General features: G+C 44.1%; 3 annotated features.

The window, feature by feature from the left end:
- Positions 7,842 to 7,911: an enhancer, noted in NCBI's record as "active region_5919". NCBI's record gives its function as "activates an Ori minimal core promoter by ATAC-STARR-seq in GM12878 lymphoblastoid cells {active_cell/tissue: GM12878}" and the evidence as "EXISTENCE:reporter gene assay evidence [ECO:0000049][PMID:35858748]".
- Positions 12,014 to 12,513: an enhancer, noted in NCBI's record as "H3K27ac hESC enhancer chr12:7825437-7825936 (GRCh37/hg19 assembly coordinates)". NCBI's record gives its function as "activates a minimal SCP1, AML or CMV promoter by ChIP-STARR-seq in primed H9 embryonic stem cells {active_cell/tissue: H9 hESC(primed)}" and the evidence as "EXISTENCE:reporter gene assay evidence [ECO:0000049][PMID:30033119]".
- Positions 12,514 to 13,015: an enhancer, noted in NCBI's record as "H3K27ac hESC enhancer chr12:7824935-7825436 (GRCh37/hg19 assembly coordinates)". NCBI's record gives its function as "activates a minimal SCP1, AML or CMV promoter by ChIP-STARR-seq in primed H9 embryonic stem cells {active_cell/tissue: H9 hESC(primed)}" and the evidence as "EXISTENCE:reporter gene assay evidence [ECO:0000049][PMID:30033119]".

Here is a 14,576-nt window from a genome sequence, read left to right as displayed (position 1 = left end):
AGGTGGGCGGATCACGAGGTCAGGAGATCAAGACCATCCTGGCTAACACGGTGAAACCCCATCTCTACTAAAAATACAAAAAATTAGCCAGGCGTGGTGGCGGGCGCCTGTAGTCCCAGCTACTTGGGAGGCTGAGGCAGGAGGATGGAGGAGAATGGCGTGAACCTGGGAGGTGGAACTCGGAGTGAGCCGAGATCGCGCCACTGCACTCCAGCCTGGGCGACAGAGTAAGACTCCGTCTCAAAAAAAAAAAAAGAATGTAACAGAAGAAAGATGGGTGGATGTTTTGGTGAAGGTAGCAGTGCTTTGGTGAGGATGCGGTGGTCTCAACCCTGACCTCTGTCTGTGGGTCTAGGATTCTTTTTTTCTTTTTTTTTTTTTGTGAGACTGGTCTCGCTCTGTCGCCCAGGCTGGAGTGCGATGGCGCGATCTCGGCTCACTGCAACCTCTGCCTCCCAGGTTCAAGCCATTCTCCTGCCTCAGCCTCCTGAGTAGCTGGGATTACCGGCACCGCCACCATGCCCGGCTAATTTTTTGTATTTTTAGTAGAGATGGGGTTTCACTATGTTGGCCAGGCTGGTCTCGAACCCCTGACCTCGTGATCCGCCCACCTGGGCCTCCCAAATTGCTGGGATTACAGGTGTGAGCCACCGCACCCAGCTGTATACTTAATCTATGAGTTTACAAAAAGATGCCAAGGGAAGAGGGCCAGCCAGCACTCTTGTTGATTAAAAACAAAACAGAAAACAAAAAGTAAAACTTTCTGCTAGGGTTGGAGGGGGAAAAAAAAGAATGAAAAAGAAAAGAAAAAACAAAGTACACTTGAAAATCAGTTTATCATCTGAATGTGTATTGGGAAATCAGAGGAAAGGAATTAGGTAAATTATCCCAATGGCAAGATTTATTAACCTCCAGGTCCAGACACTGAAGACATTTTCTAGTCATTTTACATCTTATCTCTCCTATTAATATTCTAATTAGTCTACAATATGCTTGATAGAACTCTAGCTTTTTTTTTTTTTTTTTTTGAGACAGAATCCTGCTCTGTCCGCCAGGCTGGAGTGCAGTGGTGTGATCTTGGCTCACTGCAACCTCCACGTTCCGGTCTCAAGAGATTCTCTCACCTCAGCTGGGACTACAGGCACCTGCCACCACATCCGGCTAATTTTTTGTATTTTTTGTAGACATGGGGTTTCACCATGTTACCCAGGCTGGTCTCGAACTCATGAGCTAAAGCGATCCTCCTGCCAGACCTCATATAGCCCTGGAATTACAGGCGTAAGCCACTGTGCCTAGCCTAGCTTTCTTATTTGTATCATATGTCAAACCCGCTTCCTAAAGCCTCCTAAAGCGCTGGAATTACAGGTGTGAGCCACCGTGCCCAGCCTAGCTTTCTTATTTGTATCATATGTCAAACCTGCTTCCTTGGGCTTATATTGATTGGTGTAATCCTAAATCATGTTGGCCAAACATTACAAATCATAGCACAGATTATTTCTGAAGTAAATTATCTGCACAGTTTCACTTTTATTTCATTCAACTGATATTTATTGTGTGTCTATTATATGCCAATTAGTGTACTAGGTCCTCGGAAATAAGAATAAATGGTCACTTTCATTGTAGAGGTTAAAATCTAGCACTTTTTTTTTTTTTTTTTTGAGACAGAGTCTCACTCTGTCATCCAGGCTGGAGTGCAATGGTGGGGTCCCAGCTCACTGCAACCTCCACCTCCTGGGTTCAAGCAATTCTCCCGCCTCAGCCTCCTGAGTAGCTGGGACTACAGACATGTGCCACCACACTTGGCTAATTTTTGTATTTTTAGTAGAGACAGGGTTTCACTATGTTGGTCAGGCTGGTCTTGAACTCCTGACCTCATGATCCGCCCATCTCGGCCTCCAAAAGTGCTGGGATTACAGGTGTGTAACACCACACCTGGCCTTTCTAGCACTACAAATTACTTGAGTATAAATTATTTGAATATGTACGTGTGAAAAAATTTAGCATATATCCCAATGTAGGCATATTTAATTATTCACAAACTGTATGTATTATTTTTAATTAATATATTGTGCATATTTGAAAATGCTCACATTAAAGTTTTTTTTTTCTTTTTTCGAGTCAAGAGTTTTGCTCTGTAGCCCAGGCTGGAGTGCAGTGGTGTGATTATGGCTCACCTCATCTTGCTTGAGCCTGCAGCCTCAACCTCCCAGTCTCAAACAATCCTCCCATCTCAGCCTCCTGAGTAGCTGGGACCACAGGTGTGCAACACCACACCCAGCTAATTTTTGTGTTTATATATATATATATATATATATGTTTTTTGTTTTTTGTTTTGTTTTGGTAAAGATGGCATTTCACTATGTTGCTCAGGCTGGTCTTGAACTCCTGGGCTCAAGCAATCCGCCTACCTCTGCCTCAGGGAGGCAGAGGTTGCGGAGAGCCGAGATCGCGCCATTGCACTGCAGCCTGGGCAATGAGAGTGAAACTCCGTCTCAAAAAAAAAAAAAAAAAAAAAAAAGAATAGTGGCTACTGCCTTTTTCCAGTTGTTCTGAGGTTGGCTGGTTTGTTCTGTTCCTGAATGAATCAGATTATCTCCTGAGGTCATTATCATGCCTAAAACTAAAGAAATGCATGCATAACTGCCTTCATGGGTTTGGGATCCACATTATTCTATTTCTCTACTAGAATCTTCATGTTCGTCAGACCAGTCTACAATAGGCAGAGTATGTGCCCTGTAAGCCAAGTTATAGGCTGTGATTTGGGCAGGTTGGGGCAAGATAGGACTCTTTATTCTAAAATTTAAGTAAATTAAGCATATGTGTACAGCACAGCTATTTTAGAACATTTTAAGACTCATGATCTTATTTAATGGCAGGAATTTTTACCATCAATTTAATTTATTTCTATTCAGTTTCACATTTACTGAATGCCTTTGTGAGGGAAAAGAGATTTCTTTCTTTACCCATTGTTCAATTCATGGCTGATGCACACATAACATAAGAAAAGAAGGATTGGTGGGGCACGGTGGCTCACACCTGTAATCTCAGCACTCTGGGAGGCCGAGGCGGGCAGATCACGAGGTCAGGAGATAGAGACCATCCTGGCCAATATGGTGAAACCCCGTCGCTACTAAAAATACAAAAATTAGCCAGGCATGGTGTCATGTACCTGTAGTCCCAGCTACTCAGGAGGCTGAGGCAGGAGAATCGCTTGAACCCAGGAAGCGGAGGTTGCAGTGAGCAGAGATTGCGCCACTGCACTCCAGCCTGGCGACAGAGCGAGACTACGTCTCAAAAAAAAAAAAAAAGAAAGAAAGAAAAGAAGGATTAACAAGAGAAAAGCAATCAAATTTATTTAACGTTAAGTTTTAGTGAAAGGAGAACCTTCAGAAATGAAGACTCAAACAGGGAAACTTGTGCTAAGTTTGATAAAGGGTAGACAGTTGTGCAGAAGTATGATTGGACAAAGGAGGTCTGATTTAATGGTAATATACTGGGAATGGCTCGGCACTGTGGTGTGAGCCTGTAGTCCTTGCTGCTTGGGGGGCCAAGGCCTGAGGATCACTTTAACCCAGGAGTTCAAGACCAGCTTGACCAGCTTGGGCAACATGGTGAGACCCCCACCTCTTAAAACAAACAAACAAACAAAGGAACTGGAGGAGTACTTAGCAAGCCTGTTCGTTCTGATTCTTCTTAGTGCCTCTGTGTCTTTAAGGATAAAGATGTTCCTTTTCTTTGGGTATAGAGAGGATACATCTAGAATGAAGTTTTTATGCAGAGGAAGGGCAGAGAGTTCTTTCATGGCCTGCTTTAAGAGGAAGGGCAGGAGAAAGTGCAAGAACTTTCGGGCTTCTGTTTCCTCAGATACCAAGGTGCTGTATTTTGGGATAGTATGTCCTGAACCCCATCACCTTGAAGGGAGAAAGAAAAATAAGATAGAGATTCGGCCTTTGAGTAGTAGTTTATCGTAAAACTATACTTCCTAAATTCAGACTGGGCCTAATTTTTGTTTTCCTTATTTATTTATTTATTTATTTATTTATTTATTGTGAGAAGGCATTTCGCTCTTGTTGCCCAGGCTGGAGTGCAATGGCATGATCTCAACTCACCGCAACCTCCGCTTCCTGGGTTCAAGCGATTCTCCTGCCTCAGTCTCCCAAGTAGCTGGGATTACAGGCATGCACCACCACGCCTGGCTAATTTTTTTGTGTTTTTACTAGAGACAGGTTTTCTCCATGTTGATCAGGCTGGTCTCGAACTCCTGACCTCAGGTGATCCGCCCATCTCAGCCTCCCAAAATGCTGGGATTACAGGTGTGAACCACCACACCCGGACTTTTTTCTTTTTTTTTTTTTTTTGAGACAGAGTCTCTCTCTGTCGCTCAGGCTGGGGTGCAGTGGCACCATCTCAGCTCACTGCAACCTCTGCCTCCTGGGTTCAAGCAATCCTCCTGCATCAGCCTCCTGAGTAGCTGAGATTACAGGCATGTGCCACCATGCCCAGCTAATTTTTGTATTTTTATTAGACATGGGTTTTCACCATATTGGTCAGGCTGGTTCAGACTCCTGACCTAGTGATCCACCCACCTCAGCCCCCCAAAGTGCTGGGATTACAAGTGTGAACCACCATGCCCGGCAATTTTTGTTTCTTTTAAAATAAAACAATCTTTTCTCCTTATCCACTCCCACTGCTTCACTCGACTAGCCTAAAAATAAATAAGTAAATAAAATAAAACAAGCCAGGCTCAGTGGCATGCTATCAGCTACTCAGGAGGCTGAGGGGGAGGATCACTTGATGCCAGGAGCTCCACTCCATCCTGGGCAACATAGCAAGAAATTAAAATCTCTAAAAAATTAAAAATAAAGGGATTCATTTTTATGAAATGAAGGGACTCATATAGGTTCACGCCTATAATCCCAGCAATTTGGGAGGCCGAGGCGGGCAGTTCACTTGAGGTCAGGAGTTCGAGACCAGTCTGGGCAGCATGGTAAAACCCCATTTCTGAAAAAAAAAAAAAAAAATTTGCTGGGTGTGAACAAGTGGGCCTGTGGTAAGGCGGGAGCATTGCTTGAGCCTGGGAGGTGGAGGTTGCAGTAAGCCGAGATTGCACCTCTGCACTCCATCCAACTTGGGTGATAGAATGACGCCCTGTCTCAAAATAATAATAATAATAATAATAATAATAATAATAATAATAATAATAATAATAAATGAAAAAATTAAAATTACATAAAACAAAAAAGCAATGGAGCATAAACATCAGTACACCAGGGGTGGTTGCAGGATTGTTTTCTCAACATTTTATTCTCTCCTCAAAATGATATTGAGCACTTTAACTTTTATCGCAGTGGTTTCTGTGCTTTGTTTTTGAGTGGAATATTTGGAGCATGTGTCTTTAAATATTTGAATCTGTTGACTTTTGACGAGAGTTTTGACTGAAAACAGGCACCTGTTTCAACAGGAAAGGGGTATGTTCTGTTGTTTTTTCCCACTCTTCGTAGGTCAGAAAGCACTGTCAGTGATTGCATATGCCGAGATTTTCTCCTGGACCAAACTTTGGTGGGGCTCTTCTGAGCTTGCTTTTCTACTCAGCTTGACCTTGGGCTTCTGTGTTCAGTTCTGGCAAGAATTCCCAAACTTGATATAGGATCACTGTCATTAAGTGACCAAATTCCTCATCCTGCATTGCCCCCAGGTGATGTCTGATCACCTTGGCTTGTCTTCAGCAAGAATTCTAGTCTGAAAAAAAAAAAAAAGAAAGAATTCTGTTAGGTTGATTTAGCCAGAATCCCCCCTTACTCCTGATGTTTTTTTCGTAGTAATTTTCCATCAGAGATGAAAGTTTTCCGTCAGAGATTGGAAAATTACTGGTCTTTGGCACTTCATACTTTCATACCCATTTTTCCTTGTTGTATTTGGAATTAAGCCCACTCTAAACTAGGCCCCTTTTCCCCTATTGCAATCGCCCTGAATAAAATCTATTTTTACCACATCAGCTACTGTTTAGCTCTAGGTTTTCTTCAATACATGCAAACATAAATGCATTCCTTTAGGTCCGGGCACAGTGGCTGTGCACGCCCAGGCTGGGGTGCAGTGGCACCATCTCAGCTCACTGCAACCTCTGCCTCCTGGGTTCAAGCAATCCTCCTGCGTCAGCCTCCTGAGTAGCTGAGATTACAGGCACGTGCCACCATGCCCAGCTAATTTTTGTATTTTTCCTTTACATTACAGGCATGAGTCTGTAATCTCAGCACTTTGAAAGGCTGAGGCGGAAGGATCTCTTGCGCCCAGGAGTTTGAGACTAGCCTGGGCAACACAGGGACATCCCATCTCTACCGAAAAAAAAAAAAATTAGTCGGGTGTGGTGGCACGCCCTGTAGTCCTAGACTGGGACTACAGCCGCATCTGAGATGGGAGGATCACTTGAGCCTGGGAGTCGAAGGCTGCAGTGAGCTGTGATTGCGCCACTGCACTCTAGCCTAGAAAACAGAGCAAGACTCTGTCTAAAAAAAAAAAAAAAAAAAGTATATCACACAGACACACATATATACAAACACACATGCATACATATATACATATATATTCAAGTGGGTTTGATGGACAGATAGATTCTTTCTTCTCTCTTTTAATAACAAAAAGCATTAAATAACAAGAGTAGGGGCAATTCTTTCTGATCAAAAATTTATCACTGCAATCATTATTACCCTGTTGCGATAATGTAAAATTTATCTTTCTGAGATAGTGAAACTTACTTGAGAATTGTTTTAGCCACAAACTATTTCCTCCTCCTCCTCCATTTTTTTTGAGACAGAGTCTCACTCTGTTGCCCAGGCTGGAGTGCAGTGGCTTGATCTGGGCTCACTGCAACCTCTGCCTCACGAGTTCAAGCGATTCTCGAACCTCAGCCTCCCGAGTAGCTGGAATTACAGGCGTGACACCACACCCGGCTAATTATTGTATTTTTAGTAAAGACAGGGTTTCGCCTTGCTGGCCAGGCTGGTCTCGAACTCCTGACCTGAAGTGATCCACCAGCCTCGGAGTCCCAAAGTGCTGGGATTACAGCTGTGAGCCACCGGGCCCGGCCCTATTTTCATCTTTCAAAAAGTAAATAATATACAATAATTATATGGTAAGTGATATGGGAGCTTTAGGCTCCTCATGGGGTAATTGTTCAAGGTCTCCTGGAACAATAGTAATTAAAACAATATCAGTTGTGAAAGAGAATATGATAACTACCGCAGGTGTAAACAGAAATGAGAAAATTAAATTCTTCCGGAAAGATGATTTAAAAAAAGAAAAATGCAAATTAAAGACTGAGTCCAACTAAATAAAAGAAGAGGTAGGACGCAGTGGCTCACGCTTCTAATCCCAGCACTTTGGGAGGCCAAGGGGGATGGGTTACCTGAGGCCAGGATTTCAAGACTAGCCTGACCAACACGCTGAAACCCTGCCTCTACTAAACATACAAAAATTAGCCAGGCGTGTTGGCGGGCGCCTGTAGTCTCAGCTACTGGGGAGGCTGAGGCAGGAGAATCGCTTGAACTCGGGAGGTAGAGGTTGCAGTGAGCCGAGATGGCGCCATTGCACTCCAGCCTGGGTGACAGCAAGACTCCGTCTCAAAAAAAAAGAAAAAAAAGAAGAAGAAGAAGGTCTGCTTATCTTGATATGGTTATTCAGAGATAGTAGTATTTTGACAGAGGGAGATGTCAGGGAATTTTATCTAGAGCAAAGGCAGGAAACAGATGGCAGAAACTGAGAGGGACTGGAGGAGTTTGAGCAATTTCTGTGTTGTGGTTGGCTCTACTAATTCTATTGTTTTTCTGCCCTCTGCTGACTTAAATGGGGAAAAGCAAATCTATGAAAACCCTTACGTCTGGGGGATTGAAGGACCCATTAAGAACCTGATAAAACATGTAGACACTCCCCCAGAAAATAATGCACATAAACACAAAATGTTTTGCATATAATTTCAGTGGCTGCATGGATAAACTATGGGACGATGAAAGGCACACTCCTCTTGAGTCAGGTATTTTTACTTTTGTCTCTGTTTATGATTTTGTGTGTGTGAGTACACACGAACTCTTTTGCAGTATTCAATTCCTTTTAAGTAACCTATTTCCCACTCCAGCTTTTTCTATTTCCATGTATCTATGGCAGGTTTGTTACGACAATTGCCCTTTAACCTATTCCCTACACTGCAGCTGTGGTGGTTCTTTGAAAACCCGATTCTGGACCAGGTGCTGTGGTGCACGCCCAGCACTTTGGGAGGCCCAGGCAGGAGGACTGCTTGAGCCCAGGAGTTCAGATCAGCCTGGGCAACATAACGAGACCTCGCCTTTACTAAAACAATTAAAAAAATAAAATAAGCTTGTACAGTGTTGAGCACCTATAGTCCCAACTACTTGGGAGGCGGAGGAGGAGAGAAAAATCACTTGAGCCTAGGAGTTTGAGCTTATGATGAGCTTTCATTGCACCACTGCACTCCAGCCTGGTGACAGAGTAAGACCTTGTCTCAAAAAATAAAACATAAATTAAAAAAACCCCAATTCTAGTCATGTTACTTCCCTGTGGTACTGAATTATTTTTTGCCTTAGGGAAGACAACCCCCTGATTTTCCTTAGAACATTTATTTCACTTTTTTTTTTTTTTTTTGAGATGGAGTCTTGCTCTGTCACCCAGGCTGGAGTGCAGTGGTGCGGTCTCGGCTCACTACAAGCTCTGCCTCCTGGGTTCACGCCATTCTCCTGCCTCATCCTCCCGAGTAGCTGGGACCACAGGCGCCCGCCACCACGCCCAGCTAATTTTTTGTATTTTTAGTAGAGACCGGGTTTCACCGTGTTAGCCAGGATGGTCTCGATCTCCTGACCTCGTGATCCGCCCGCCTCGGCCTCCCAAAGTGCTGGGATTATAGGCGTGAGCCACCGCGCCCGGCCACTTATTTCACTTTTGTTTGCCTTACTGCAATTAATTGTTTAATTAAAAAAACAAACAAACAAACAAAAAAACCCCATACACACTCAAAAGCATTTCCTGGAAGAGAATTGAAGTCTATGACAAAAATGCACAGACTGATCAAAAGTCTCTAATTTCTTCCAATTTCTGAAATTTCTCCTGGAAACTGATTTGTTTTGTTTTGAGACAGACTCTCCTCCATCACTTAGGCTAGAGTCCAGTGGTGCGATCTCTGCTCACTGCAACCTTTGCCTGCAGGGTTCAAGCAATTCTTGTGCCTGAGCATCCCAAGTAGTTGGATTACAGGTGTGTGTCACCACACCGGGCTAATTTTTTTTTTTTTTTTTTGAGACAGAGTCTCACTCTGTTGCCCAGGCTGGAGTGCAGTGGCGCAATCTCAGCTCACTGCAACCTCCACCTCCCGGGTTCAAGCGATTCTCCTGCCTCAGCCTCCCAAGCAGCTGGGATTACGCCTGGCAATTTTTGTATTTTTAGTAGAGACGGGGTTTCACCATCTTGGCCAGGCTGGTCTCAAACTCCTGGCCTCATGTGATCTGCCTGCCTCAGCATCTCAAAGTGCTGGGATTACAGGCGTGAGCCACTGTGCCCGGCCAAAATTGGGTTTTTATTTCAGGTTTGATAGATGATTAAATAGCTGTTGGAGTCCTTGGTTACGGCATTATTTTTCAGACTCAGGCTGCATTTTGAGAAAGGCAGTACAGGAACTGGAGACTAAAGATTTTGGTTTATGGCTTGATTACCCAACGGAGGTGTCATAGTGCCAGATGGTCTCAGAGTCAGTGGCATGAAGGAAAAAGGAAGTCTGTGAGACCTCACTGTAAGAGGCTCATGACAATAAAATTGAGTCTGAGAACTCTTCTCAAGCTAATATTTTTAAATAATAATCACTTGGCACATATTGATTGAAAATTTAGGTCGGGCGCAGTGGCTTACACCTGTAATCCCAGTGACTTAGTACAAAATGCAGTTGGTTCAAATGATTCTGGCTGAGATGCCAAATACATAATTCAGATGTTTATGTTACAAGTATTATTGTTTCCCTTTTTCCTCTGTTAAATAGCTATTTACACACACACACAAACACACACATATATACAATACACTAGGACACCAAGTGGGTATTTTTTGCAACCCAAACTAAAAATCCATAAGCATATGCATGGCAAACCAAATAGTAGAGATAAGAAAGAGAAGTATTCCTACACAGGAGGCTCTCACCTCCTCAAAATTCCCGAGTTGACATTTAATGTCAATGATGTTCTTGCCATTGAAATAAACATAAAACAGGAATCACTCTGTTGCCTTGGCTAAAGTACCGGTGGTGTGATCATAACTCACTTCAGCCTTGACCTCCTGGGTTCAAGCAATCCTCCTGTTTCAGTTCCTAGTAGCTTGAACTACCCTGAGGAAGCCGAGTGCAGTTTCTCATACCCGTAATTCCAGCATTTTGGGAGGCTGAAGAGGGAGGATTGCTTGAGCCCAGGAATTTGAGACCTGCCAGGGCAACATAGTGAGACCTAGTCTCTATAAAAAATAAAAAAATTAGCTGAGCATGGTGGCAAGTACCTGTATTCACAGCTACTTGAGAGGCTGAGGCAGACAGGTTGCTTGAGCCCAAGAGTTCAGGATGCAGTGAGCTGTGATTGTTTCACTGCACTCTAGCCTGGGCAACAGAGACCTTATCTCACTTAAAAAAAAAAAAACAAATAAAAAAGAAAACAAAAAACTTAGAGGGATCTCAGAGAGATCTTTGCACACCTATGTTCATAGCGCCACAATTCACAATAGCCAAAAGGTAGAAGCAATACAAATGTCATTGACGAATGAAAAAACAAAATGTGATATACACGTATAATGAATATTATTCAGGCTTTAAAAAGAAACAAATCCTGTCACATGCTACAACGTGGATGAATCTTGAGGATACTATGTTAAGTGAAATAAGAGTGGCCGGGTGCGGGTGGCTCACACCTGTAATTCCAGCACTTTGGGAGGCTGAGGTGGGTGGATCATCTGAGGTCAGGAGATCAAGAATAGCCTGACCAACATGGTGAAACCCTGTCTCTACTAAAAATACAAAAAATTAGCCAGGCGTGGTGGTGGGCGCCTGTAATCACAGCTACTCGGCAGGCTGAGGCAGGAGAATCACTTGAACCTGGGGGGGCTGAGGTTGCAGGGAGCCGAGATCACGCCGTTGCACTCCAGCCTGGGTGACAAGAAACTCCATCTTAAAAAAAAAAAACTTACTGGCCGGGCGCGGAGGCTCACGCCTGTAATCCCAGCACTTTGGGAGGCCGAGGCGGGCGGATCACGAGGTCACGAGATTGAGACCGTCCTGGCTAACACAGTGAAACCCCGTCTCTACTAAAAATACAAAAACTAAGGCGGGCTTGGTTGCAGGTGCCTGTAGTCCCAGCTACTCGGGAGGCTGAGGAAGGAGAATGGCCTGAACCCGGGAGGTAGAGCTTGCAGTGAGCCGAGATCACGCCACTGCACTCCAGCCTGGGCGACAGAGCGAGACTCCGTCTCAAAACGAAAAAAAATAAAAAATAAAACTTACTATAAATTTATGATAATCATAACAATGTGGTGTAAACATAATAATGGACATATAGATCAATGGAATGAGAGGATTCCAAAATGAATTCATGCACATATATGGCCAATTAGTTTTTGTTTGTTTGTTTGTTTGTTTGTTTGTTTGTTTTGAGATGGAGTCGCACTCTGTTACCCAGGCTGGAGTGCAGTGGCACGATCTTGGCTTGCTGCAACCTTTGCTTCCTGGGTTCAAGCGATTTTCCCGCCTCAGTCTCCCGAGTAGCTGAGACTACAGGCACAGGCCAACACGCTAGGCTATTTTTGTATTTTTAGTAGAGACAGGGTTTCACTATGTTGGCCAGGCTGGTCTCAAACTTCTGACCTCAAGTGATCCACCTGCCTTGGCCTCCCAAAGTGCTGGGATTACAGGCATGAGCCACCGCACCCAGTTTTTTTTTGTTTGTTTGTTTGTTTTTTGAGATGGAGTTGCACTCTGTCACCCAGGCTGGAGTGTAGTGGAACGATCTTGGCTTACTGCAACCTCCACCCTCTGGATTCAAGCGATTCTCCTGCCTTAGCCTCCTGAATAGCTGGGATTACAGGTGCGCACCACCACACCCAGCTAATTTTTGTATTTTTAGTAGAAATGTAGTTTCACCGTGTTGGCCATGCTGGTCTCGAACTCTGGACCTCAAGTGATCCACCTACCTCGGCCTCCCAAAGTGCTGGGATTGCAGGCCTAAGCCATTGCGCCTAGCTGCCAATTGATTTTGTATTTTTTGTATTTTTTATTTTTTGAGACTGAGTTTTGCTCTTTCACCCAGGCTGGAGTGAAGTGGCTAGATCTTGGCTCACTGCAACCCCCGCCCCCCAGATTGAAGAGATTCTCTGCTTCAGCCTCCCGAGTAGCTGGAATTACAGGCACCTGCCACCACGCCTGGTTAATTTTTGTATTTTATTTTTTTGAGACGGAGTTTCACTCTTGTTGCCCAGGCTAGAGTGCAAAGGCTCGATCTCGGCTCACCACAACCTCCACCTCCCAGGTTCAAGCAATTCTCCCACCTCAGCCTCCCAAGTTGCTGGGATTACGGGCATGCACCAACATGCCCGGCTAATTTTTGCATTTTTAGTAGAGACAGGGTTTCACCATGTTGGTCAGGCTGGTCTCATACTCCCGACCTCAGATGATCTGCCCGCCTCGGCCTCCCAACATGCTGGGATTACAGGCGTGAGCTACAGTGCCCAGCCTAATTTTTGTATTTTTAGTAGAGAAGAGGTTTCATCATGTTGGCCAGGCTGGTCTCGAACTCCTGACCTCAGGTGATCCACCCGCTTCTGCCTTCCAAAGTGCTAGGATTACAGGTGTGAGCCACAGTGTCCAGCCTGCCAATTGGTTTTTAAATAAAGGTGCCAAGATAATCCAATGGGAAAAGTGTATACACACACACACACACACACACACATACACATATATGTGTTTCTTTCTTTCTTTTTTGAGATGGAGTCTCACTCTGTCACCCAGCCTGGAGTACTTTGGCGAGATCTTGGCTCACTGTAACCTCTGCCTTCCGGGTTCAAGGACTTTTCCTGTCTCAGCCTCCCGAGTAGTTGGGATTACAGGCATGCACCACCACGCCCGGCTAATTTTTGTATTTTTAATAGAGACAGTTTTACCACGTTGGCCAGGTTGGTCTTGAACTCCTGACCTTAAGTAGTCTGTCCGCCTCGGTTTCCCAAAGTGTTAGGATTACAAGCGTGAGCCATGGTGCTTGGTCAGAAAAGTATATATTTTTTAAAACAAATGATGCTATAAAACTAAATATCCATATGAGGGAAAAATAATGCAGATATTCATATGTACAGAAAAGAATACTGGCCAGGTGCCGGGCGCGGTGGCTCACGCCTGTAATCCCAGCACTTTGGGAGGCCGAGGCGGGCGGATCACGAGGTCAGGAGATCGAGACCATCCTGGCTAACACGGTGAAACCCCGTCTCTACTAAAAATACAAAAAATTAGCCGGGCGAGGTGGCGGGCGCCTGTAGTCCTAGCTACTCGGGAGGCTGAGGCAGGAGAATGGCGTGAACCCCGGGAGGCGGAGCCTGCAGTGAGCCGAGATTGCGCCACTGCACTCCAGCCTGGGCGACAGCGAGACTCCGTCTCAAAAAAAAAAAAAAAAAAAAAAAAAAAAAGAATACTGGCCAGGTGCAGTGGCTCATGCCTGTAATCTCAGCACTTTTGGAGGCCATGGAGGGTGGATCACTTGAGGTCAGGAGTTTGAGACCACCCTGACCAACGTGGTGAAATCCCATCTCTACTAAAAGTACAAAAAAAAATTATCTGGGCATGATGCTGCACACCTGTATTCCCAGCTCCTTGGGAGGCTGAGGCAGGAGAATTGCTTGAACCCAAGAGGCAGAGGTTGCAGTGAGCCGAGATTTCGACAATGCACTCCAGCCTGGGTGAAAGAGCAAGACTCCATCTCAAAAAAAAAAAAAAAAAAAAAAGAATCCTGACCCTGACATCACACCATATACAAAAATAACTCGAAATGTATCATAGGTTTATTGTAAAAGCTAAAACTAAAAATATATAAGTACCAGAAGAAAATATAGGAGAATAGCTTTGTGCCTTTTGAGTAGACAATGATTTCATAGACAAAAAGCACTAACCATAAAAAGTAATCCAATCGATATAAACTGAACTTTACTAAAACTTCATTAAACTTCTGCTCTTCAAAAGACACCATTAAGGAAAATAAAAAGCAAACCAGAGACTAAGGGAAATATATACAGACAGTCCCCAGTTTAATGATGGCATGACTTAGAATTTTTCAGTTTTACAATGGTGTACAGGTGATATGCATTCAGTAGAAATTGTATTTCAAGTACCCATACAGCCATTCGATTTTTCCTGTTAAGTGCAGTATTCAATAAATTGAATGAAATGTTAAGCACTTCATTTAAAAATAGTCTTGTGTTGGATGATTTTGCCTAAGTGTAGGCTAATATAAGTGTTCTCAGCATGTTTAAGGTAGGCTAGGCTATGATGTTTGGTAGGTTAGGTG

This window comes from Homo sapiens, chromosome 12 (assembly GCF_000001405.40).
Source record: "Homo sapiens chromosome 12, GRCh38.p14 Primary Assembly".
NCBI lineage: Eukaryota > Metazoa > Chordata > Mammalia > Primates > Hominidae > Homo > Homo sapiens.
This window is presented reverse-complemented; position numbering and strand designations above follow the sequence as displayed.